The following is a 27,380-nucleotide window of genomic DNA, read 5'->3' as shown; positions in this document are numbered from 1 at the left end:
CTCCCACCTCAACCTCCCAAAGTGCCAGGATTATAGGTGCAAGCCACCACACCTGGCCTCTTCCTGGGATTCGTAAATGTATTATTCCATTTTCTTGGGGAGCCTGAACCAACATTTCAGTGATGAGCTAGGCACTAGTGTGGCTGTTGAATCAAATCATGTCAGAAGGTAAGAAGTTTTTTTCTAAGTGGTGAGATGATCATAGGAAGGAGGATGTCAGTACCTAGTTGATGAAGCTTATTGGAGAAAATGGCTAGACAAAATTGATGTGGGTGAAAATGTCTCTGTACAAATACACTATGCCCATGGAAAAATAAGAGTAATAATAATAATAATGATGACTAATGTTTATTGAGAAGTTATATACCAGGCAGATACGGTGATATTTAACTTCCATGTGCTATCACAGTCAGAATTCACAGCAAAATTTTAAGGTAGGCACTATAAAGATCCCACTTAAAGATGAGCAAGTCGAGACCTAGTGAGGTTAAGTAACTTGCTCAAGATAGTCTAGTCAAGCAGAGGCATAGCCAGGATTTGAATTGGGATCATTTGACTTCTGAAACTACTCTTAACTCTCAAGTTGCTGAACCAGACTTTAGATCGCCACTCTCTTAATTTAACTCCAAGTTCAGTTGGCTCCCTCATTCTGTGAACTCAGCTTTTTTTTTTTTTGAGACAGAGTTTCACTCTTGTTGCCCAGGCTGGAGTGCAATGGCGTGATCTCAACTCACTGCAACCTCCGCCTCCCAGGTTCAAGCAATTCTCCTGCCTCAGCCTCCCGAGTAGCTGGGATTACAGGACACCACCATGCCCGGCTAATTTTTTTTTTGTATTTTTTAGTAGAGATGGGGTTTCTCCATGTTGGTCAGGCTGGTCTTGAACTCCTGACCTCAGGTGATCCGCCTGCCTCAGCCTCCCACAGTGCTGGGATTACAGGCGTGAGCCACCACACCCAGCCGAACTAAGCTTTAAGTGAAGAACATGTCTTGCTCATCTACTAACTTTTTAGAAAAAAGAATTTGGGTCCCAGTACAATTCTTTATGGACTTTTGATGTGCTTGCTGTCATTTCAACCCTCATAAATCCAGAGATTTGCAAGGTTTTAGGAAGTGACTCTTGAGAATACTCAGGACTCCTATGGTTGAGCATGACAGGAAGGTGGGGGACTCATTTGGTCAGAGATAATGCTGAGGGTGGATGAGTGAGACTGTGGAAAGCCTGATGTGTCCAAGATCACAGGCGGAGTTCTGAGCCAACTGATAATTTTGAGAAGAAGGAAATTGAAAAGTTTAGAGGTTAAGAGCTTTCCACAGTACGATATACACATATACATATATAATCTATATTGTAAATGTACACATATTATTATATGTATATGTAGACACATACATATTACCTATATACAAATGTATACACATGCGTATATTATTATAATTCAAAATCTCTAAATAAGTGTATACACGGTTTTCACCTTGAATTATACCAGTTAACAATTATTGAACTCCTAAATACCAGGACTTTGCTTTGCATTAACAAGCATTATATCACTTCATCTTTGCAACAAGGTGAAGAACTCATTATTATTATCTCAATTTTTCAAATGAAAAAAGAAGACTCAGAGAAGTTAAGCTACTAGCCATGGTGCCAGTAAGTAGCTGAGCTGGAATTTGGTCTCTAATCTGTCCAGCTCCTCCAGGCCTGCTCCATAAACAGTCATATGATTCTGTCCCTCTTACCTGTTACACCTGTTTGCATGCCTGGTTCTCTGGCTCCTCTGCAAGCTCCTAAGGGTTGAGGCTGGGGTCTGTTCTCCTCATGCCTGCATGGCTTAGGCCTAGGCCAAAGACAACACTTGCAAATGTTTGTGGAGGAATTGAAGGAATTAATTGCTCCACATACTGAGAGGCAGAGCTTGGCTAGAACTAGACTCCCTAAAAAGAGCAGAAAGGACTTCTTCAGCCTCCGAAGATCTCTTCCTTCTCTGAAATCTAGCACTTACAGCCATTTCCATTTCCTAAGTCACCAGATACTGTCCTATTTCATCTTTTATACTACTGAATAAAAATAGTATTAACGTATGTATTTATACTACCTTATTCAACTATTTTTTAAATATTTAACACTCACATAGATTTCCTTTTTTTTTTTTTTAATTTGGTTCCTTACTGGACTAATGAGCTTCTTGGGAGTTAAAAAGAGATAAAGGAAATTTTCCTGTATTGAGTTTGTATAATGTACCAAGCACCATGTCATGTCCATCACATACAGGAATTTTTAAAAAATCTTCATGACAGTCCTTAGAAACAGTTATTATCTGTCTTTTACAGGAGAGAAATTTTGGGCTCAGACAGTGAAACATAGTAATTTGAATGATAACACACAGTAAGAACATGGCTGAGCTGGGACTCAAACCTAGGGCTTTCTGACTCCAAAGCCTATGACGTGGCCACTGCCTTTCCAGTCTGAGCCCTAATTGCCACACGGCCTGGGCTTCCCGTGCCAGACAACACCATCTCTCCCTCCTCTCCCACACTCCTCACCATAGCAGGACCTGATTGCTATCAGCCCAGGCATCGTGGAGGCTGCAGCAGAAACGCGCTCTGGCATCTGAGGATGCTGCATAAGGTATGCCAGCAAGAGGAAGAACAGTTGGTGAACAGTTGGTGAGTGGATATTTTTATGCAAGGGTTGCCTAGAGAGAGGAGAAAGAAGAGTGAAAAAAACTGTTTATAAAGAAGCCACAATTAATAAGGTCTTTGTTAGCTTTTTGGATTTCGATTTTCAAGTCCATTGCTTTGGGTTTAAATGGAAGCAGAAAGGTCCCCAAGGAGCCAAACTCTCAGCTTCCAAAGCATAAAGGCATTTAGGAAACCGATCCCAGCCTGAATGTGTTGAAGATTTTAAGTATTCAGCAAGGAGTGCAAAGATGCTGTGAATTCCTTTGGACAGCTTCTCATCAGGATTGTTTATATTGCAGCATGCTCAGTATGTGAGCTTAAGAAGAGCTACAAGATAATTTAAAAAAGTAAAAGAAAAAGAAAGCACCACCTTTAGAATATCCAAGAGAACCACAACCACTCTAATCTTTTGGCTACCAATTTACATCCCTCTCCAAGCCTCAATGTTCTCATCTATAAAATGGGAATATAGTATCCATCAAAGTGGGTTACTGCGAGGATGTGAAAATGCCCTGTAAACCTTAAAACAATTTATAAATGAGATTATTGCTTTTTGTAGAATACTTTTTTATGTGAAGCCCTCTACTTCCCTTATCTCTTTTTACACATACATTCATTCTTCAAGAATTTAAAAATACATACACAGCTACCATTTGTTAGAGTACTTAGACTATGCAAGATCCATATTTTGCTATATTTGACCCTTGCACTGGCCCTATGAGGCAGGTGCCATTCCCCACCTCACCTGTCCCATATTTCAGTTGAAGAGGAAGCTCAATGAAAGGTTAAGGAATACAACCAAGGTCAGTAATAAGCAGAGTCAGTATCAAAGACTGCTCTGGAGTGGACACTTGGTCTAGATTCTGAGTGCTGATCACTTGACTACAGTGGCTTTCTGCCTGCTACTTGCCAGGAGCCTTGCAGCCATCCAAAGAGTTAGCATACAAACAGGCATTCTGTTAGGGTTGACTTTGTGTCCTCCCAAAAGAAGATATATTAGAATCCTAACCCCTGCTTCCTCAGAATGTGATCTTATTTGGAGACAGAGCTTGACAGAGGTAAGCAAATTAAAATGAAGTCATTAGAATCGTCTCTAATTTAATAAGACTGGCATCCTTATAAAAAGGGATGTGGACACAGAGAGAAAAGCATAGAAGGAAGATGATGTGAGAAGACATAGAAAGAGGACAAAAATCTACAAGCCAAGGAGGGAGGCCTGGATCACATCCTTTTCTCATAGCCCTTAGAAGAATCCACCCTGCTGAAACCTTGATTGTGGACTTCTACCCCCAGAACTGTGAAACAATACATTTCTGTTGTTTAAGCCACCCAGTTAGTGGCACTTTGTTTATGGCAGCTTTCACAACCTAATGCCTATTCTGAATCCTCTTTTCTGGATGAGGCTCTGGAAGAGGAAGAGATTAGGTGACTTACTCAAGAGGTAGGTGAGATGGCTGAGATTTGCACCCCATTTTCTGTCCACTCCTGCACATTGATTGCTAAAAGAAAGCTCCTTGGAGGCAGGTATTTCTCTTGGTTGTATTCACTGTGGTGCCTGGCATTTATATCAGTGTCTGGCATATCATAAAGCAATACTTGTTGAATAAATGAATGAATGAATGCAGATCTTTCTACCAACTTACCCAGTGTATCACAGCTAGATTAAAATGATTTTTAAAAAGCACATCAGGCTGGGTACGGTGGCTCATTCCTGTAATCCCAGCACTTTGGGAGGCCGAGGCAGGTGGATCACTTGAGGTCAGGAGTTCGAGACCAGCCTGACCAACATGGTGAAACCCCGTCTCTACTAAAAATTTAGCAGAGCGTGGTGGCAGACACCTGTAATCTCAGCTACTTGGGAGGCTGAGGCAGGAGAATCACTTGAGCCTGGGAGGCAGAGGTTGAAGTGAGCTGAGATCATGCTACTGCACTCCAGCCTGGGCAACAAAGTTAGACTCCGCCTAAAAAAAAAAAAGCACATCATCCTGGAACAAGAATTTCAACAACTTACAGTCACTGTCAGAACAAAGAGTTTCATACTTTGTATTCAACTTCTTCCCACAATCAAAGACTTATAATTATAAACAAGTTTTCACAAAAATTCTTTTGAAGTCTTGTTTCATGTATTGTCAGGTATGAAACTCCAAGGTGCTAATTCTTATTTGTACTTGGAAACCAGTGACTCACCTGCCTTCCTACCTCTGGTTTCTGCCCATGTTGCAATTCCATCAGAGGTTTTTCTTTCTACCTCGTTGACCAATCCTCAGTTTTCCTTTACTGGCTCTTCCTCATTTTTCCAAACTCTGAACTGCGGTGTGGTCCAGGATTCTGCTTTTCTCACTTTTTTGGTAACCCCATACAGTCTTGTAGTTTTAAATACTGTTTATGTGCTAATATCCAGATTGGTGTCTCCTGCATACACTTCTACACTGAATTCTAGACCTGTATATATCCAATAACCTTTTTAATATTTCCATTTGAATGTCTAATATATATCTCAAAGCCAATATGTTCAAAACCAAACTCCTGATTTCTCCCTTCACCCCAGATAAAATACAGCTTCACTTACAGTCTTCCCTGCCTTAACAAATGTCAACTTTATCCTTCCATTGCTTAGGCTGAAACCTTTGGGCTTCTTTTCACTCCTTTTCTCACACCTGATATCCACTTATTCAGCTGATTCCATAGTATTACTTACAAAAATACTGAGGATGTGGCCACTTCTCACCACCTCCACTGTTACCATCATCCTTTTTGCCTAAATTATTGCATTAGCTTCTTACCTGGTCCTCGACATCCAGTCATGTCCCTGTACAATCTCTTCACACATTTTCCTGAACAAGCCTATTAAAATGTAAGTCAAATCACATGCTCCTCCTTTCAAAATTTTCCAACAGACCTATGTGATTTAATATCTCACCACCTCTCTGATTCTATTTCCTTCATTTCATCATTCACCAGATGACATTCAGTTTTATTTACATGGCCTATGAGCAAGTTTGCAAAGAAACAAGCTCTGGTAGATCCAAGGTTTTTCTGAGGGAGTAATTTCAGTATAATTCTCTGAATAAGCTAACTCTTCTCCACATCTACTCCACCAATACCTCCCAAAGTCTTTCCAAGATGGTCCTAACTAGACCACATGTTGCTCAACTCTTTATTGAAATATCCACTTCAGTTGCATATGATTTTTCTCATTATCATATCATTAGCTGCAGGAGTATCCAATCTAGAGTGGTTACACGTACCCTTACAACTTCTTCTCTATTTTGGTCGAACTCCGTCGGAATGAAGCTTCCCTCATTCTTATGGTTACAAGAAGGTAAATAGGTGGCAATCTCGTTATCATGTCTGCTTTCTGCCTGTTTTGGTGTGCTGGATGTCTTTATTTAATGAGGTCTTCCCTCCACCCTTCTGTGCCTGCCCCAGGAGGCTGACCTGTATGAAATACATAAGTGGCCTTCTGTACCTTTAAAGCCTCTGGATAAAGTAAGAAATAAGAGTGAGATCAGGCTATTTTTTTCCCTGAATTCCTCCCAGTGGGCTCACCTTGGTTTGGCTGTCTCAGATGTCACTAATCCCCTTCAAGGGGGCTGCTCTACAGGAATCCCTCTCATATAGAGTTCTCTCCTACCTCTTACCCTCTAGCCTGGGGTGGTAACCTCCACTATTATCAGCTCTGGGTTACTGCTTCATCCCCTAGGATTCCCTTCCCTTGCTTACACCTTTATAATTAGTCTCTCCTTGAGCTCTTCTCTCTTGAGTGTGCTGCCAGTTTCTTGCTGGGACCCTGACAGATATATCTGATGATCTATAAATGTTCCCCTGACTTAGTACATTTTATCTGTGGTAATCAGATCTGACATATTGCCTTCCTCTGACACAACAGATTCTTTTCCTGATCAATACTGCTCAACTGAGCAAGAGAAAGTCTATCTCTCACTAGGAAGGTGAGTTTCTGAAGCCAAACTGACCCATCCTGTAATCCTAGATTAGACAATGACCAACTGCCTTATCTTCTTGGCATTTTACTACCCACCAAACCTTGTGCATTTTAAAATGGGAATAATATGACTGATATAGACCAGTATATACCATATAATTAGCAAATATTAATTTGTGTTTTTCCTTTTCACCTTGGTGCATTTGTTTTTCTAGCTCATTTTTTTTTTCTTCTGCTTCATTTTGGTTAATCCAATACCTTAAACCTCAATGGAGCTCATGGAGTAGCAGTGTGTAATTTGCAGTCAGATAATTTTCTCATCAGTGGGAGTTGCTCTTGTGCTAATTTGGGCTGTATCCTCTTGTGCTAATTTGGGCTGTATCCTCTATTTCAGTCTTTTGTCTTATTTGTAAAAAGCATATCGTATTATTCCAACTTCTACACTTTTCTTTGTAAGCTTGTGCATCGTGACTGAAAGTGAAACAGAAAATGACATTCCATCCTCAGAGTCATCGACAAGACACTCAAGACACTACTATTAGGGAAAATCTAAATGTACTGTTTTCTGAATATAAGGGTCTTTCTCTGCTCTTGCATGTGGGCTTGACTGACAGTAGAAAGGACAAGGGACTAAGTCAGATTAACTGGGATGCTAGATTTCCCTCAGCTACGTGTCCTTCTGGGGCTGGAGTCAAGGTCATATTAAGCAATGCCACTAAGACTTTTCACAGGAAGTTTATGAGATGGTTGAGGTGAAGAAAGAGAGGTTTAATCAGGAGGGAGGAGACCTGCCATGAGCCTCAAGGTTCATGGCACATCAGAGAGGCTAAAAGCAAAAACATTGAGTGCCAGAGTTCAAGATGGAGGTAAAAATAGAACAGACTGTATATTTCAAAGTAGAGAGAATGAAGAATATTTTCAGACACAGAGAAGACAGTGGCAAAAAGAGGTGTGGATATAAGCCAAGATCCATTCAGGAACACATTGTACAAACAGGGCCGCTATGCCTCTTTAGGAGAAGGCTTGGCATGGTCTCACCAAGTTTAAGACCAAAGCTGAAAGTGGCTTTATCTTTAAGTCTTTTGCCTCTCTGAGCCCTAGGACTCATGGCAGCTAATAGGGGATAACACACCTTGCCCCATTTGTCACCTAGAACTGTTATAAGGATAAAATGAGGTAATGGGTGTGAAGGCACTCTATAAACCACAGAGCACTACACAAAAGTGAGGATCCAGCAGCTATTTTATCATACAGAGCTAAACTCTTCTCTAACAGACTGCATACCTGGTCAGTTGGAGTCAGACTAATCCTGAACTCCATCTCCACTAGGGATGTATTAGTCAATAGAAAAACTATATTCAAAGGAATTTAAGCAAAAGTCAACCAAAGGCATGCTGCAGGTAAGTTGCTGGATGGCTGGGCTTACAGGAGGACAGGTACTGGGTATTCAGACTCAAATCAACCTTGCTCTATGTGTAGTCTCTACTTTTTCCTATGGTTCTGTTTCACTGGGTTACCATCGTAGCCTCGCTTTCTTCTTGAGGCTGAAGCATGATCATTGTAACTCCTGGACCTACCACTTCCTAGGCATCATCACCCAAAAGGAGTGGGCCACCTTCTCTTAGTTCCATTTTAAAAATTCCTGAGTGAACTTGTCCTGGCTTATATCGCATGCTCATTTAATGACTTGGCTTGGGTCACATGCCCATTCTATGCCAGACCATGGCACCTATGATTGGTGCTTCTGTATGCTTTGGATCATGGAAGAGAGTGTTTCTTAACTATTTCTGGAAGGGAAAGTGCTGAAAAGACCGAAAAATAGATGGCCACTAAAGGGATGTAATAAACACTACATCCTATAACCTGTTTTTATGGCCAATACATCCGAACTTTTAGGATGGACACCCCTCATCCCCACTGGAAGCACATAGAGAAGAGGATTGATAGTGAATTAGTCAGGGTCCTGGCAAGGAACAGATGGTACACTCAGAAGGGGGTTCTAAGGGGGCTTTAGAGAAAGGACTATTTGTGGAGGTATGGGAAGGGTTAATAAAAACCAAAAAGGGAGTTGGTGGTGAAATATCCAATGTTCCTACCAGTGGGCAGCCAGTTATGTCCCTTGGCCTGAAAGGGAAAGGAAGGGATGGTTATCTGAACCATTGAGACATGTAGCCATAGGGTAAGGCCAGCAGACAGCGGATGTGGCCTTATTACAGGAACCCAGCCACTGCCAACCAGCAGATAAATAGGGAGGGGCTAACCTTTCTCTCCTCTCACCTGCCTGTTTCATGCTAGCACTCTCATTGGCCAGTTCCAACTAGAACTCAGAATTCAATGAGCTCAGCTTGATGGCGTCCTTAACAATTAGATTCCAGGGCACAGAGCAAGGTGGAGAAGAATGGAAAAGCAATCTGGAAGGGCAAACGGAGGATGTCCAGCACAAGGGTGTATCTGCTCCCTTTGGCACAAAAGATAGGCCTAGTTGGAGTCCACTCTGTAAAATGGGACACCTTAAAAGAATAATGGAATTTTAGGGCTAGAGAAGTCCTTAAGATCATTCAGACCAGAATTTATAAACTTGCCTATATCTAGCATTCAGGTGTGGCTTACATGGCTAATGTAGCTTTAATACCAAAAAGCAAACACTAGCAGGCAATAAACAAAACTCAAAATTTAACATTAATGTCCTTAGGTCAAGTATGTAGTTTCCAGTTCACCACGATTATCATCATTCCCTATTGTCCAACACCCCGTATACATTCTTGCCTCCCAGAAGTATTTGACACGAGGACTTGTAAATAGAAAAGTCAAGCTTCTTCATTTTTCAGATAAAGAAGCTGGGATGGCAAGGAAACTTGTTTGCCCATGGCTGCACAGCCTTGGTGGGAATTCTGTCTGCAAAGACAAAAATAGAAATGTATAAATATGAGGACTTAATGAAAGAGTTGTTTGCCTCTATAAGATGAGACTCCATGGGAGCCACCATCACACATGGGAGTGACTGTCATTTGAAGCAAGAGTTATGCAAGGATTCTACTTGCTCTTTGTGGCCTTAGAAGGTGGAAATAGAACAATAGGGAAAAGTGATTATGATCGGTGCAAGTCAGAGCTTGCAAAGGGCTATTCAGAATGGACTGGGATGCCTCAGTTCATCCTCACTTCCCATCTGTGCAGCTGGTCAATTAACAGAAACAGAACCACCCCTTAGTGAGGATGGTGTTGGACCTTGTTCTTAGAGCCCTCCTCCTATGAGTTGAGCTGATGCTGAGTTGAATTGGAATGAGAGGAATGTGTCTTCTTGGCTTTTTTCCATGGATTATCTTTCATTTTATTCCATGCTTTTTTGGTGGCATGTGGGTAGGAAGGCTTTATTTGCTTTGCTCTCTTCTCAGAATCCCTAGCCTTCCTCCCATCAAGAATCTAGAAGTAAGTCTGTGCTCTGTTTGCCTTTACCTATTACTCTCAAATACCCTCCCTTTTTTCCACTCAGACCCATTCCTTTTCTGTCCCCACATGTGTTAGGCTCATTTTCACCTGCACCTACATCCTCAGGATATGATTAGTGAAGATACTGGTTTAGTTGTAATAATGGAGATCAAACAGCAGTGGCTTAACTGGAAGGAGGAGTGGAGCTGTTGGGCTGTCTGGATGGGAAGGGTGGCTGTGCTCAACAAAGTCACCAGGAACCCAGTTTCTTCTTTCTATTGCTTCATCATCCCCCATTGTCTTTATGAGCAAAGATGACTCTTCCCCATCATACTCCCATGCCAATCCTCAAGAGAGGGGAAGAAGACACACAGAACAAGTAAATTCATTTTGAGAAGTGATCCACAACAGTGCTTCTTGTCACATCCTATTGTTCAGAACTTATTCATGTGGTCGTTCCTGGAGGCAAAGAAAAAAAAAAGGTCATAGAAGTAGCAGGTAGCCACATCTGAGCTAAACTGAGGGACAGGGATGTAGTAGGAGGTGCATTAGTAAAAGGAAGAAAGAATGAATGGATATTGAGAACCAGTGAGTCCACCCAGGATGCACTGTATAAGCGGAATGACTTCCTTTTGCCCTCTGAAACCAAAGCTCATCATCTTTCAAATACCAGTTTAAATCTGCTCACTCTTTTAAGTTTTCCTAAAGAATCATCCTTAAGATGGGTCTCCGTATTCTAAGAGGACTGGGTTTAATGTTACACCTGTAGTATATACCCAAGGAATATATGGGGAGTTGGTTCAAATGCTCCCCACCACCTTTGCCATTGTCCACGGTCCAGCAAAGGGAGGGAATGATACCATGAGCTTACATTCACTGGGCATCTACTAAGCACCAGGTGCTGTACTAACAGTTATGAGCGTTACCTCAATCTATCATTGTAATTGCTCTAGAAATTAGGTACTGTTGTCCATTTGCCAGAGGAGGAAACTAATACTCTGTGACGTCACTTTCCCAAAGCTCTGCTGCTAGGAAGTGCCATATTCTGAATTTAAACATGAAACTGGCTCCAAGGTTTATCGCTTATTTCAACACATTGAAACTTTTCTGTAAAGAGCTTTGCAATAGGGAAGCTTCACAGAACTGAAACAACTGGATAAGTCAGTGTTTCTACATTGGTCAAACTGGCAATTTGAATAAGACAGGCAAGGAAAAAGAATATCTAGCCATATTATCCATTGGGCTAATTTAAGTTTCCAGGGAAGTATATATATATATATGAATCAGGCTCCTCTTCCCGGATCTGTTTTAAGAAAGTCATACAAAAGACTACCCCCCTCACCCCCCAATGTCTATCCTTCCTTTCCTTCCTTGATCTCTTCCATGATTTTCTCTTGGGGGAAAGGAGCAGATTGAAAACTGTGGTTATATATGTAACCATTAAAATAGATGCTCTGCCTATAAAAATAAACTTGTGCCAGGGTCTAATAAATTATGTGTTAACATGGCAGCTCACTAGTCTGCAGGGGAACTGCATTCACTCTCCTGATCAGAGTAGCGTACTTCCAAGCCTCCCAATTTGTTAGTTCCTTAGCCTGGCATAGCTGAGAACTTATTCTGCATTCAGTATAGCAAATATTCTTGAGTACCACAAGGTGCCTGTTTCCAAACTAGATATTGAAGACTGTAAGTGAAGAAAACAAAGGACTTGTCCTCAGGGATATCAGTCCACAGGGCAGAACAAAACAGGAGAAACAAATAACAGTAGTGCCATCAGGTTTTTCTAACAGGTGAAGTGTACTTAAGGTGCTATTGATTTAAAAGAGAGGATTTGATTCTGAATTGAAGAGGAGACATAATGTCTGAGCTGGGTTTTGAAACATAGGAGATAATCAGATGACAGAGAGGGTATTCCAGGCAGAGGGAATAGAATATGCAAAGACAAGGAGGCATGAAACACAGTATATGTTTTGGGAACCATAAGCAGATCCAGAACTTTGCAGTATGAATTTATCATGTCAATTTCAAGACTCTATTTGATGGGTGATAGAGAGGAATAAAGGATTTTAAACAGGAGAATGAAGTGATCCCATTTATGTTTTAGAAGTATCCCCTGTGGACAATGTTAGGAGGACATGGAGAAATGAGGAACGCCTGTTAGAAAGCAGTGCTAGTGATCAAAGATGAGAAATGATGAAATATAAGGTGTGTGATGGTCTGGGAAGGGAAGCTAGTGGGTGAATATAGAAAAATTGCTAACATTTATTAAGGATTTGCTATGTGCCAGGTACTGTTTTATGTTCTTTGATATGGTAACTTACTTCATCCTCTTAACCCTTCAAGGAGGTAGATATTATTATTATCAATATTTTACAGCTGAAGAAACTTAGGTATTAAACCCAGCTAAAAATTTGCAGAACCAGCATCTGAGGCCAGTCTGGTCCCAGAGCCTTCTCTCTTAAGCACTGAATGGGGATGCTTTAATTTGCTTTCCTTATTGAAATATTAGGCTAAGATTATCCTTGAAGGGCATGCAATAAGCCGTCTTGCAAGGAAGAGGTTTAACAGAGCAGAGTGACATTTTATCTGAGTACCCAACTAGCTCAACAACCTTGGGACAACATGATAGTCTGTAACCTCATCTGTGAAATGGAGATATCTATACACAATTCCTAGGACTTTTCTGAGGATTTAAGGGACAGTTCACTTTAAAAGGGACAACCCCAGTGCCTGAAAGTTAGCAAGCAGTTCTCAAACACTAGTTTATTTTTTCTTTCCTCTTGGAGGATACTGGAACTTTTGCAGCTCCTATTAAAGTTTTTATAAAGAGAGATGAAAATTATTAGACTGTTGAAAATAAATGAATTATGGCTACCTGCAAAAATGTAGGTGAATCTTGGAAAAATAATGTTGGGTGAGAAGAGAAAATCTCAGAAGACCACATACAGTAGGATTCCATTTTCATAAAGTATAAAAACAAGAAAATCTAAGTAATGTATTCTTTAGAAATATGTGCATTATATATATATATTGTGTGTGTGTGTGTGTAGATAGATGATAGATAGACAGACAGACAGACAGACAGATATAGATAGATAGATAGATAGATAGATAGATAGATAGATAGATAGATAGATAAAGAATTGCTTAACACAGGCATCTCCAATCCCCAGGCCACGGACCAGTACTGGTCTATGGCCTGTTATAAACTGGGCTGCCCAGCAGGAGGTGAGAGCCTGATGAGCAAGCCTCGCTGCCTGAACTCCACCTCCTGTCAGATGAGCAGGGTATTAGATTCTTATAGGAGCACAAACCCTATTGTGAACTGCACATGCAAGGGATCTAGGCTGTGCACTCCTTGTGAGAATCAAACTAATGCCTGATGATCTGAGGTGGAACAATTTCATCCCCAAACCATCCCCCCAGCCCCCCCCATGGAAATATTGTCTTGCATAAAATCTGTCCCTGGTGCCAAAAAGGTTGGGGACCGCTGGCTTAACGTAACACTAAGAATGGTGATTGCTGCTGGAGAAGAAGGCAAGGACACAGGTTAAAGGAGGAGCATGTAGTTGGTACAATGGTAGATTGCTGGTGAGTGCATGGATGTTCATAACATTGTTATTATTAATATTTATCCTTTGTAGGCATTAAATATTACATAAATTACATTCAAACAGATAATGAAGGAAAAATAGTATCCAAAGAGGTAAATGAGGCTTTAGGCCTGGCTTGATTCAAGATCTAAACAAAGACCCAAGGCTCTATTTCTTGGCTTGGCTTCCTCTAGGTTCAGATTCTTCAATCTGAATAGTGGTGGCTTCCCCGGTAACTTCAGATTTACATTGTTCTAATACCCAGTCAAGTACAAGAGAGAACATATCCTTCCCCAGTAGCTCAAGAGGAAGATTCAGAACTGAATCTCATCAGCCCTGATTGGCCTGGGCCTGGGGACCTGAATCAATGCCTTTGGCCAAGATGTACATTAACTGACATAGTCTAGGTCTTATGCTGGACTCCTGTGGCCTGGGCTAGAATCGACTAGACTCAAAACGCATTGGTTGAGAGTGAGGGGGAGGGCTGGCTACTTCAGAGCCAAATCAGGATATTGATGCTACACAAATAAATAGATGTCAACGGTAAAAACAGCAAATGCCCACAAGAGCCATTTCCAATTCTTGCATTTTTATGATTACACAAGCAACACACAGATACTATAGACATTTTTTAAAGTTTGGAAAATCATAAAGACAAAAATAAAAGTCATCAGCAACCTTGCTAAGCTGAGAAAACCAATGTTAACATTTAGACTTATTTTTTCCAGTCCTTTCTTTGGGCCTTTTATTGCATTGGTGATTGTGTGTTCAGTTACACGATGTGTCTTCTTTTTACTTAACAAACACATTATTGTTTTCACAAGCTAAATTCAGTCTACTACTGAAGAAGTAGTTATGCAGGTAGTTATGTAGTTTCCAGAGATATACCTGAGCTCAGTCTCCAAGGAAGGTTAGTGAAGCAGGTGAGAGGCAGAAGTTGTAGAGCAGAGAGGGACCCCAGGTCAAGGGGCTAGCATAAGCACAGGCATGGAGGTAAGAAGTACCATACTGTTTCTTGAGCCCAAAGTGTAATGCACAGAAGCTGGAGAGGAGGCTACAGAAGGCCTTGCATGCTCTGCAAGAGAATTTGAACATTTCAGAAGGAGACCACGGTTTATTTTAGTTTGGGATTGTGATCTCTGCCCCTGTTCAGGACATACTGACGATCTGAACTTTCTTTCAGGCCTTCTGTATGTCAGCCTTACACATTCTTTAAAGGTAAATAATAAGCTGCCCACTCCAGAAATTCCACTTTGCAAATTCCTTCCACCATTCTCCATAGGCGTCAATTTCTCCCTCTTCTGAGGCACACTGAGGGCCTTAGTTCATGATCTTTGCATTTCCTGTTATACCTGGTGCATCGAACGTGAGTCAGATAAATACTTAGGAAACTGGACTATACCAGTGTTTGTCATGTGGGAGAGAGTTTTCTTTCCACGGGACGTTTGGCAAGGTCTAGAATACTTTTGGTTGTCATGACTTCTGAGGGAAGTGCTGTTGGGTATTTAGTGGGTAGACCTAGGGATGCTGCTAAGTGTTGTATAACTCACAGCCCGTGCAACAAGGTGTGCTCTGGTTAAAAATGTCAATAGCGCTAAGGTTGAGACACCCTGAAGTACACGGACTGAAGTGCAGAGGTTGCTGGGTGGTGGTCAGGAGAACTCATTTCTGGTCTTGGTTCTGTGGCAATTTACCTTGGGGATTTTGGGCACTGGACTGTCTTTGGGTCTCAGGGCTGTCATCTCTGAGAATTCTAGTATGAAGATCACATGCTTTGGAGTCAGATGACACTGGGCTCAAATTTTGACTCCAGTCCCTGCTCTACCTGTGAGGTCCTGGGCAAGTTACTTTTTATGCCCTCGTTTCCTCATATTTTGACAGGGGTAATGGTGTCTACTTTGGAAAACTAGGAGGAATTGAGATCACCTATGTAAATCAAGACCCATAGCACTTGACACATGGAAGGTGCTCAGTAATCAGCATTGCCATGATACTAAGACTATGACTATTAATAGAATAAAGGGCTTGAAAAATGGACTCTAAGATCTTTTCCAGCTCTAATATTTTAGAACTTCTTGTTTTGTTTTCTCTGCATGTAAATGCTGAACACGGCTAGGCATGTGTATCATATGGGGTCCCTGCAGGAAGCATATGGCACATTCCAACTGAGAAACTTGAGGAAAGTGTATTAAAGGGATTTTTATAAAGGCATGAGCATGACTTAGAATAACCAAAAAGAGATAATACAGGACTCCTGAGCTAGACCTCCTAGGTCTGAAAGGGTAAGAAGAGGGGCCGTTACCAGAATCCTGAGACAGGTGGCTTTGTGGAGAGGGCTGCCTTGCAGGAACTGCAGTGAACCTTTGTAGAGACCAGGGAATATATATATCAGACCGCATCCCCTCTTTCTACTCCTCTATCTCTTGCTGGTGGCTTCCATTATTTGAATCCAACAGAATGCCCAAAGCAAAGAGCCTGTTGATGCAACCCTATGTCAACTCCCTAACACACAGATCCTATTAGAGAAGGTGGAGAAAGTGGATTTGGAGGCAAATAAAATATAAATGGCAGCACAATTTATATTTTTGTGCAATTTGTGGCCATGAGAATTTGTGGAATAACAAGCAGTCAGGGGTTTGGGCACCATGACTTGCTATTAGATTCAACATGTTAATACTTTAGCTCTTTGCTAAGGAGAGAGAGGGCTCCACGTATAGTTAGTTGTCTGCCCCACTCTGAGTGCATCTTGCCCTGCAGACTCAAGGGGAAACACAGTTCTGTTCTGATAAAGGCATCTGTGACTTCTTTGAATACTGAATGCCTCAAGGAATCTCCATGCTGGGAGGTGGAAAACAGTGGAGGCTGGTTTGGGAAGCAGCATGGTTTGGTAAAACCCTAGTGATCTGTGTCCCAGTTCTGTATCTGTCACTTGCTGGCTTTGCTGTCTCTGGGACTCAGTTTCTTCACCTGTGAAATGGAGTAGCAGCCTGTGGTTTACAGACCTGTTGTGTGGATTAGATATACATGATAGAATGTAATCCAGTACATGGCAGCATGTGGTACTCACCAACCAGGTTTTACTGATTTAACATTTGTCTTTTCGTTAGTTATTGAGTGTCAACCATGTGCTGGGCCTTCAAGTAAAGTCATGATGACTAAATTAAGGTCCCTAACTTTAAGGAAATCATGGTTCAGAATAAGTTTCTATTCTGGGATTGACAGGTAGGCTTTGGAAATTCCAAAACCCCCTTAAAATGGAACACAGAAGTTTGTATATATGCAGGTATGTATATGCCTTCTTCAGGAAAGATTTTATTAGTTTCTCCAAGATAAGTATCAGTGAGTGAGAGCTTTTAGAGGAGAATTCCTGAGAGTGAAAGATTATCAACCTCTCATTCAGTAGAACTGCTATTAATAATAAAACAGGCCAAGTGTGGTGGCACATGCCTATAATTTCAGCACTTTGGGAAGCCAAGATGGGAGGATTGCTTGAAGCCATGAATTTGAGACCCACCTAGGTGACATAGTGAGACCCCATCTCTGCCAAAATAATAATAATAATAATAATAATAATAACAATTAGCAAGTGTGGTGGTATATGCCTGTAGTCTCAGCTACTTGAGAGGCTGAGGTGGGAGGATGGCTTGAGCCCAGGAATTCGAGGCTGCAGTGAGCTATGAACAAACCACTACACTCCAGCTTGGGCAACAGAGTGAGACCTTGACTCTAATGATGATGGTGATGATGATGATGATGACGATGGTGATGATGATAAACAGACAGTATTCAGTGAGAGCATGATTGGAATGTGGCCCTGTAATCATCTTTCTGTGGCCTTGCATGGAAGCATTTAGGCTAGAGAATAGATGTTGCAGGCAGAAATCGCCGGTTTTGTATAACTAACTTTCCAGAGTTGTCAGAAAGGTGATTGGGAGGGACCAACACATTCAAGAAGATTCTAAAAGATCACTTACAGGACATTCTATATTGGAGCAAGTACCTATAAGACCTTTTCAACTTTCAGGTTTCACTATCTCACTAGGATACTGTCAAGGTGATGGTGACCATGGTAGAGAAAAAGAAGGTGTGTGCTTATATGTATCTCTGCTTGCTCTGCTTCCTGTGTGAGGTGGCATGATCACATGAATGAGGTGTTCTAACAGTGTGAGGTGGCATGATCACATGAATGAGGTGTTCTAACAAGCCAAGGAGTGGACCAGGTACAGAGAAATAGATGAGATAGCGCTTTTTGGAGCAGCTTGCCGAGGTTATATATGTGTGTATGTGGAAGAGCTGTTTACGCTAACATGAAGAGATACTATTAGACACTTACAAATCAACTTAATTGCCTTAACTCTGACCAAGGCTGGGAACCATGGAACTTTTTTTTGGAGGTCCCCTGCATTCTAAAGACTGGAGCCAATGACAAGTAGTAGCTTTCAAATATCTTTACTTAAGAAATCCCAAAGAGCAAGTTATGGATTTATTAATTCATCAGTTATTAATTGAGCACAGAAATCTCTGCCCTTGAGTTGTCTATAGTATCTTGTGGGACATATACATGTGAAGAAAGCTCTGCAGGCCTGTGGATAGTGCAGTAACGTGGGGGTGGACTAAGTAAGTGCTGAAGAGCAAGCCAATTCCAGAAGACTTGCTTGAGGAGCTAATGTTGGGCTGAACTCTGAAGGATGCATAGAAAACAGAAAGGATGGGGAATGAGGAGGGTGGAACAGGTGATTCCAGCCTCAAGGAACAGGGTACCAGGCCACCAAACAGGACAGGTGAAAGACAGTCTTGGTTTGAAGAAAGATGAAGCCAGCGTGTTGAGTATGTGGGATGGCTGTGGGATGTGAGACTGGTGGAGCCAGTGGGAAGAGATTATGAAGAACTCTGAGTGCCTTGGCCTCAATATGAGCTTTAAACTGAGTGAATAGAAACCATGTGAGGGTGGACAGCATTTGTCTAGCACAGTTAATTTGTGTTTTAGAGAGAACTACTTCCTAAGTCTTAACATAGAGTTGTGGGCAATGGGGTCCAATGTGACTCCAGTTTCTCTCTTCCCTCTTCTCAGGCAGGAGTAGGCTGAGTCCTTAAGGCCTTATTCTTTCCGCAGCAGAACTCTCACTGGCCCTTTCTCCCATGCTGTGCATCTCCTCATAAATCAGGAGAGAATGCCCCAGGTCTCCGCATGGCTTTCTTGTTACCATAAATCTCGGGTATGAGTATGGTAGAGGGTGATTTAGGTAATTACGTAACATAAAACTGCTCTTGGCTTTCTCATGTCTAAAGAATTGTTATCTGTGTATCTCATTCTGCAATTTATGGCCATTCTGGATGAGGGAGAGGGTTCTTACAGTCACTGCCTGTAAATTATGTGCTTTTCCACTGGTGAATATTCCTGATGGTAAATGACTATTATTCCTATAGGCTGTACTCATATATACATAAGAAACACAGGCATGTGGAATGATGCGGGCCAATTTATCATGCTGTCTTATTTAGAGGGCAAGGCCAATGGGAGGCAGGGGTGGAGTCTATGCCTCTCTGAACAGGCTCTTCCAATAGGACAGGGGCCACATCCATTTAGGCCTCAGGAACCCTTTGCCATGTAACACACATGAGCTTACTACAAAGTGGTTCAGCTGTGACTGCTCAATTAATAACAGCTTGTGTTGACTTTTTTTAAACCACGTAATTGAGTGTGCAATTGGGTTTACTCTTGCATTATATGTTCATTGTTTCTTGATTCTTAATCAAGTATTAATTCTCAAGATGAAGACAATATGTTATAATTCAATATCTCCAGCTCTTACTTAGTGCTTTGCAGGCAGAAAGAGCATAACTCTTTGTAGGCAGGCAGCAGGTTTTCATGTTGGTCCCTAATGAGCCTTTTATTAGCTGTGTGACCTCCAGCAAGTTACTGTATACTTCTGAATTATTGTCTCCTTTTCTGTATAATAAGGATGGTAGTAATTTTTGGCTTAGCACTGTTATGAAGTTAATTGTGATAATGCATGCTAAAGTGCCATGCATGGTGTTTGTAAATGTTGACAGTAAATAATGAATGAATTAATTAATTAATAGGCCATAACTACAAGGTGTATATAGCTTAATATAACACATAACAAATCATGTTAGTGTAATGGCTAAACCCAAAACACAATGACTCAGCAAGACAGACATTTCATTGTCTCCTAACCAGAGTGAGCAGGCAGGCAGTCCAAGACAGGTAGGTTGCTCTGTTCTGTGCCATCCAGGGCCTTTGTTCCTTCCATCTCGTTGCTCAGCTATTCCCTAGGGTAGTGTTGACTTCTGAATGGCCAGATTGTCTCATCACTACCACATTCACTTTGCAGCCCACAGGAAAGATGAAAAGAGGAAGTAGAAGGCAAGTAGCTTTTTAAAAAGATTGAGACTTGAAAGGTGCACATGGTACTCTGTTGAGTGGCCACATGTCCAGCTGAAACCTGGCAGGTCAGATTCATAGATACAAGAAGAGAAAAAGGAATGTAGGATCTGATTAACACTGCCTGTCTCACATACTTACCAACACTTATATTTAGAAATCAGCTTTAATCCTACCCAAAGACTGAGTGCTATCATGTACAGTTAATTGTGGTTTCAAATATATCTGCTTTATCTCCTCTCTAAATCAAGAGCTTCTCAATGGTTTGGATCTTACTTATTTCTTTTTGGGTGTCCTCCTGAGAGCTTAGCATAGGACCTGATGCATTGCAGCTGCTCAGTGTTGGTTGACTGACCAACTGACTGACTACAGTGTGCCTGGACTGGATGCTAAGTCAGCCTATACCAAGGCTTGTGAGCAATGATATAAGGGTGTGCCTTGACAGGAACATGGGTCCACTCCTCACTTAGATCGAAGCTGGCCCAGAGCATCCTGGGAGCCAGACTCTCCACATATTGAGCTTTTGGGAAACATCTGTCCACTTTCTTGCCCCATCTACCCAGAAAAGAAAGAAAAAATATTGAAACACTTGACTTTTTCCATTTTACAGATGAAAAAACTGAGGTCTGAGGTTCTAAGTTGTTAAGTAACTTGTTCAAAGGCACCTAAAGAGTTATTGCATCACTGAGATCACTATTCAGTTTTCCAAACTTATTAGTACCTTTTTTTCACCACCCCATTAGATTTCTTTTCTTTTTTTTTAAGAGACGGAGTCTCACTCTGTCGCCCAGGCTGGAGTGCAGTGGTGCAATTTCAGCTCACTGCAACCTCCGCCTTCTGGATTCACGCCATTCTCTTGCCTCAGCCTCCCGAGTAGCTGGGATTACAGGCACCCACCACCAAGCCTGGCTAATTTTTGTATTTTTAGTAGAGATGGGGTTTCACCATGTTAGCCAGGATGGTCTCGATCTCCTGACCTCGTGATCCGCCCGCCTTGGCCTCCCAAAGTGCTGGGATTACAGGCGTGAGCCACCATGCCCGGCCCATTCGATTTCTTAAACCAGATAAAAACAATGACAACAATAGTAAATGTTTTGCTTTTTATAATTTCTACCATGTTTCACATTCATGATCTCATTTAATCCTTATAACAGCTGTTGGAGATAGGATTGTTATTAATATGCCTTTTTAACAGACAGAAAACAGAAGTCCAAAGAAGTGATAAAATATTCCCTACAAAAAAGTGAGACTCTAGAACCTAAACTCAATTATTTGTATCTCAATCCTGCTGGGCTGCTACTGTGCAGATAAAATGATAAATACCAAAGCACCTTATAAACTATGGACCATCTCCAGTGTCTGGCATTATTATTAATGTGTTATTGCTGTGAGACCCAAATCTGCGCTTGAGTCCACAACTTGGGAACCCTGCAGTATATTTTAATTATAGCCACTTGATAATCCTGGGATGTTGAGGGGTCACTGTCCTATATCATGCCTAAGAGTCCTAAAGGAGGAGATTTCTCCAGACTCATGAATATTCATTGTAATGCTAAACCACAAACTGCATTTTCCTTCATTCACTATAATCAGATGCTCACTGCATTGCTCTCAAACCTTATAGTCACTAAGTGGATGGATCATAAGCATGTATTGTATTAGGTATCTCTGCTAGGGTTTTTTTCTCCCCATCACGTAGGGATTCCACAGTGCCTAAACATATCACTGGAGTAATGAAAAGCTACCATTTCTTTACTGGAAGCTTGGTAAGCAACTGTCTCTAGGGAGCCTCACACACTTTGCCAAGGGCTTCTCGAATTGGGCATTGCAGGGATTCCATCCTTTGATTCTTCAGTTTTAACAGTAGAGGTGCATAGTGTGGGGAAAAGCATTGCTGGTGATAGGTCTTTGCTACTCAAATGGTGTCCCTGGAGCAGTGGCACTGGTGTTACATGGGAGTTTGTTGGAAAGGCAGAATCTCAGGCTCTGCCCCAGACCCACAGAACCAGAATCTGCCTGTTAACAAGATCTTCAGCTGATTCATTTGCACTTTAAATTTGAGATGCATTGGGCTAGAAGACTTAAAAGGTTCTTATCCTCTAGTCTGCCCTTCACTTGCTGTTTAACTGTGGACAAAGCACTTAACTTATTTGAACCTCTGCCCTGCCTTTCTATAAAGTGAGAAGGTAAGGTGCAGACATTAGAAGTTCTAAGTTTGTTTTCAGAGAGGTGGTTTGCTCACAAATCGAATGCATCAAATATCAGCAAAAACTGTATCTTCCTTGAAATTTCTAATTTCTTTTCTCTTTGAAACAGTGACTCCAACACATTATTTGTTGTCAATATACAGCCGGCATCATGGCCCTCAATTTCCTGAAATGTGTTGAAATGCCCTGGGCTTAGGAGGACCTGTATCCCTCACTGAAACCAAACTCGGAATATCTAAACTTTATGCAAGGGAACCTCTAGGTGTAGAAGCAGAGAAGCCTGCACATTCAGCATTTCCTGGAGTTCTACTTCCTTCTGTTCATTTCAGTATTTGTGCTTATCATTACTGCTGTAGGTTTGGCCTTCTGTAAAAATCGCAGTCATATTCCCTCCCTTTATAGTGTTGTGTTAGATTCACACCAGGTAGACAAAATTAAAATTTTTTGGGAAGCTGGTTGTTCATTCAACATTTATTTAGGCCTTAATGTTCTCTTTAGATGCAGTTGCAGGTGGTGGGACAGAGCAGTGGTAAGAATACAGGCTTGGCCCTAATGAGACCTCAGTGGGAAAGCTGGCCTCATTCTTTACTGAATACATGCTGGGGTGTGTTCCTTGGCTACATGTGGTCTTACTTTCTGCATCTGTAAAAGGGGATAAACTTGCTTTGTGGAGAATGGCACAAATTTGTTCAACATCCTCAAGAAGCTTGCAGCCTAGTGGGGAGATTAAGTCTAGGTTTGGGGCAAGGCCATGGACTCTGCCTCCCCCAACTTGGATTGTTAAGATTTCTGGGAAGAAATTACCGCTAGGCTGAGACTTTAAGGACAAGGAAGAGTTGGTTAGATGAAAGCAAGAATAGAGAGCTGATGAAATTGAACGGAAATTTGTTTCTGAAAGAATGAACAGTGTCTAAAAGTTTTGAAGATGAGAGAGAACATCGTGGTTGAGGTAAGCTGAGTAAACCTAAATATACATCTAGCTCATCTCAGATAGTTCTTATGGGACATTCACTGGAAAGGAATGAATGTTTATCCCCTTAACCCACATTGGTATATTGAAGCCTACATCTCCAATGTGATGATACTTGAAGGTGGGACTTTGGGGACATAATTGAGTCATGAGGGTGGAGCGTCCACAAATGGGATTAGTGCCCTCATAAGGGGACAGAGAGACCAGAGCATGCTCTCTTTCTTTCTCTGTCTCTCTGCCATGTGAGAATATGAGAGAAGAAGGTCATCTGTGAACCAGATAGAGGGCCCTCACCAAGAACGTGGCCATGCTGGCACCTTGATCTCAGACTTTCAGCCTCCAGAACTGTGAAAAATAAATGTTTGTTGTTCAAAAGCTACCCTGTCTACGGTGTTCTGCTGTAGTAGTCCAAACTAAGATATTGACCTTATTAGAAATTTGTTTGAATAACATTGGAAAGTAATGAGTAACCAGGGGACATTGAAAATATTTAATAACTGGTTTGGCTCAGCATTGAGCAAGCAGAAGAGAAGCAGTTGGTACAAGAGGAGAGTCCAGGAGTCCCCAGAAGAGGCAGATGGCAGCCCTTTAGTTACTAAAGGCAAGGTGATCCTGAGGGAAGGACAGTGGCTGCAGGGTACCTCCAGGGGGCCTGGGGAAGGGGTTGGGTGGGTATTGACCAACAGGATAAATTGTTTTAGTACTGTAGGGTGTATTAGTCTGTTTTCACATGCTGTAAAGACACACTTGAGATTGGGTAATTTATAAAGAAAAGAGGTTTAATTGAATCACAGTTCTGCATGGTTGGGGAGGCCTCAGGAAACTTACAATCATGGCAGGAGGTAAGACAGAAGCAAAGGCACATCTTATGTGGCAGCAGGTGAGAGAGAGCGAACAAGTGAAGCGGGAAGAGACCCTTATAAAACCATCAGATTTCGTGAGAACTCACTCACTATCACGAGAACAGCATGGGGGGAACTGCCCCCATGATCCAATCAGCTCCCACTAGGTCTCCCTAGATACATGGGAATTATGGGGATTACAAGTCAAGATGAAATTTGGGTGCTGACACAGCCAAACCATATAATAGGGACGAATGTGATCCTACCAACACACTGCCTGGAAATTAGTCCTAGTAGCAACTGCATTTCACATTCTTTTAAAACCCTGTACTGAGCATTGATCCAAGTGCCAGTATCCCTATTGTACAGAAGAAGCTGCTAAAGTTCAGAAAGGCCCTGTGCCTTGACCAGAGTTACACACCCAGCAAGGGCTGGTCCCCAAATGTCTCTAACTCTAAATTCAGAACATCACATGAAAAGGAATTCCCATGAAAGTAGGACCTGATTATTTCTGCTTAGTGCAAGTCACAGCTAGAGGCCCAGAATGTTCTCTGAACATGGCACAGTCAGCTGGCCTCACTATGAGGGCATCTGAACAAGAGCTTAGCCCTGACTATAGGTAACATCATGCACAGGGCCCAAGGATACTGAACAAGCTGGCCAAGAGGCATGCCGGCAGCTAGGGCCCTAGTGTCCTCCTCCTCCTGAAACAGAAGGGAACAGAGGAACCACATCAGACAGGGGAACTGCAGGGCCTGCTCCAGGACATCAGCTCCTCCAGATACTAGTAAGGAAGGGCCAGTGAGGAGCAAGAAAGGAAGATTTGAGTCCTTCAGCCTGTTGACCTAGCTTGGGTACTGTTGCAAGTCCAGCAACAACAGGTTTTGAAGCTGTTATTTTTTTCAGTTGGGGATGCTATTTTGCCCAGAGCACTTTAAGTGGCTAGGGGCTTTATAAAAGCTCTGTCTCTTAGTACTGGCTCTGTTCCTAGACTGTCTCCAGACCACTTCCCAAGTCCCTCCCTCTATCTCCTCTTGTTCCCTGCCTCTTATTGGTATCCCCACTTGCCTCCCTTGGTAGCTGTGTTCCCAGTGGCCACTGGGAGTTCCCAGTTGCTCTAGATTCCCATGGCCTATTACAGAAATGCAACTCTAGCTCAGCTTTGCCTTCTCTCATGAGCATAGTTTGGCTTTTCATCGTCTAGTAAAAAATGTGGAATGCTAGCTAAGAGATTCTAGACTGGACTAACTTGGCAGGGATAACTGATCAGATCAATTTCAGGCTGCTCCCACCACTCTTCACCCTGCATCCCCAGCAAACACTTAGGAGGAATCCCGTTGGGTCCCTTCCCTCCTTGGCTCACCCCACAGACCTCATCACATAGTCCCAAGATCAGTAATATTTATTTGTGCCTCTTATAAATACTTACCAAGCACCAACTATGTGCCAGACCCAATTTAAAGCACAGGAATACAGAGATAAACAAGACAAGGCATCTGCTTTCCTGGAGCTTATGCTACAGTCAGGCAGATCAGCAAGCAGAAGTTAAAAAAAAGACAACCCCCCAGCGCCCAAAGGGAGCTGACAAAGGGAAGAGTTGGTGCAAAGGCCCTGAGGTGAGAACAAGCCTGGCTGTGTCACAGAAGAGAAAGGAGGCCAGTGTGGCTGGAGCAAAGACTCCTGGCAGCAGAATGAAGAGTGTCAGATGAAATTGGATGGCTCAGCAAGACACCAAATGTGATGGTGTTTTAGGCCCTCACAGAAAGTTTGTATTTAATTATAAGAGTGATTGGAAACTGCTAATGGATCTGAGTAGGTGGGTGACATCATTAAAGTATTTATTTCTATTTTAAACAACAGTGCGAGACTCCATCTAAAAAAAATAAATAAATAAAAATAACATGATGCCAGCACTTTGGGAGGCTGAGGCAAATGGATCACCTGAGATCAAGAGTTCGAGACCAGCCAGGCCAACATGGCGAAATCCCATCGCTAATAAAAACAACAAAAAGAAAAAAAAATTAGCTGGGCGTGGTGGCGGCTGCCTGTAATCCCAGCTACATGGGAGGCTGAGGCAGGAGAATTGCTTGAACCCAGCAGGCGGAGTTTTCAGTGAGCTGAGATCATGCCACTGCACTCCAGCCTGGATGATGGAGCAAGACTCTGTCTCAAAATAAAAAAAGTAATATGGATTACAATCCAATGAAGAGGCAGAAGAGGACCAGGAAGACGGGTTGGAACCATCAGGCAACAACTGATGGTGTCTTGGACTGAGGGAGGCAGATGAATGGATCAACTCAGTAAATAGCCTGAGTTAAATGTGGCTGAGGCCTGGGCTCCAGCCGAGGATCACAGAAGGAAAATCAATTAGCAAACATGTGAGTTACTGCTGTGTGAGTCTTCCATTCTCAAGGCTGATTATTTATTGAAGGGCTCCTGCCTTCCTTGGAATAACCCGCCTGTAAGGCTTTATATTTCACAGAGCAGTTGCCTTTGAGATCCCAAAACAATGTGCCTATTTTCTAGATGAGAAAACCAAGGTTCAGGATGATCAAGTGACAGTCCCAAGGTCACACTTCAGGATAGATATGAAGCCTGTGATGAAAAGCAGGTCATCTGACAATTGAGCCCATCCTTTTCTTTTTACATTTTTCTTTAACATTAGGCCATTGCAAAAATTGAGATCTGCTTTAAGTTTCCTCCTCCACTTGCCAACTCAAGCAGAGTAGTCCCCAGCATTTTCTGCAGCCATAGACAGCCTGATCCGTCAGGGAGCTTCCAGGAAGAATCTGTCTAGGGCATCTAGGGCAGCTTTTTATGCACTCGTTTTTTGTTGTTGTTGTTGTTGTTGTTTGTTTTTATTTCCTGATGGTGATTCCTGGTTGTGACCCCTCAACTGACCTTAGCAATGTGATTAAACCACTTTGTGACTCTCTTTCCTCATCTGTAAAATGGGAATACTAATGCCTTCTCCCAGAATCATTGTAAATATTAATGTGGTGAATCCAGAATTAGGTTGGCATTGAATAAATGGTAATTCCCCTTTTCTCCTTCTCCTAACACTGACCCGCAGACATTTACTACCTAGCAGTAACATTGTTTTCATTTAATAATCTGAAATGAAGATAGACACCATTAAGCAATTACCATAATACTACTTGACATTTATTGAACACCAGATCATGAACTGTGACAAATATTTTACAGTTGTTAACCTCAATTAATTCGCACAAAATCTCCATGAGGTATCTATTAAGATTATTATCCCCATTTTACAGATGCAGAAAGAGAGGTTTAGTGGGACCAAACAAC

The 27,380-nt window shown here is 42.0% G+C and overlaps 1 protein-coding gene and 1 long non-coding RNA gene across 5 annotated transcripts in view; one reads left to right on the top strand and one right to left on the bottom strand.

Annotated features, from left to right (window-relative positions):
- LOC105378746 (uncharacterized) overlaps positions 1 to 6,024 on the bottom strand; it is a 33,633-nt gene extending 27,609 nt beyond the window's left edge. Inside the window, exons 1-2 of the long non-coding RNA XR_007066127.1 lie at positions 5,930 to 6,024; positions 2,544 to 2,695 (exon numbers count right to left, since the gene is read on the bottom strand). This is a non-coding gene — a long non-coding RNA (uncharacterized LOC105378746). The remainder of the gene's footprint in view (positions 1 to 2,543; positions 2,696 to 5,929) is intronic.
- The window catches only part of DAB1 (DAB adaptor protein 1), a 1,551,949-nt gene that overhangs the window by 584,079 nt on the left and 940,490 nt on the right, over positions 1 to 27,380 (top strand). The window lies entirely within an intron of this gene.

Source organism: Homo sapiens, chromosome 1 (genome assembly GCF_000001405.40).
Source record: "Homo sapiens chromosome 1, GRCh38.p14 Primary Assembly".
In the NCBI taxonomy this organism is placed as follows: Eukaryota; Metazoa; Chordata; class Mammalia; order Primates; family Hominidae; genus Homo; species Homo sapiens.
This window is presented reverse-complemented; position numbering and strand designations above follow the sequence as displayed.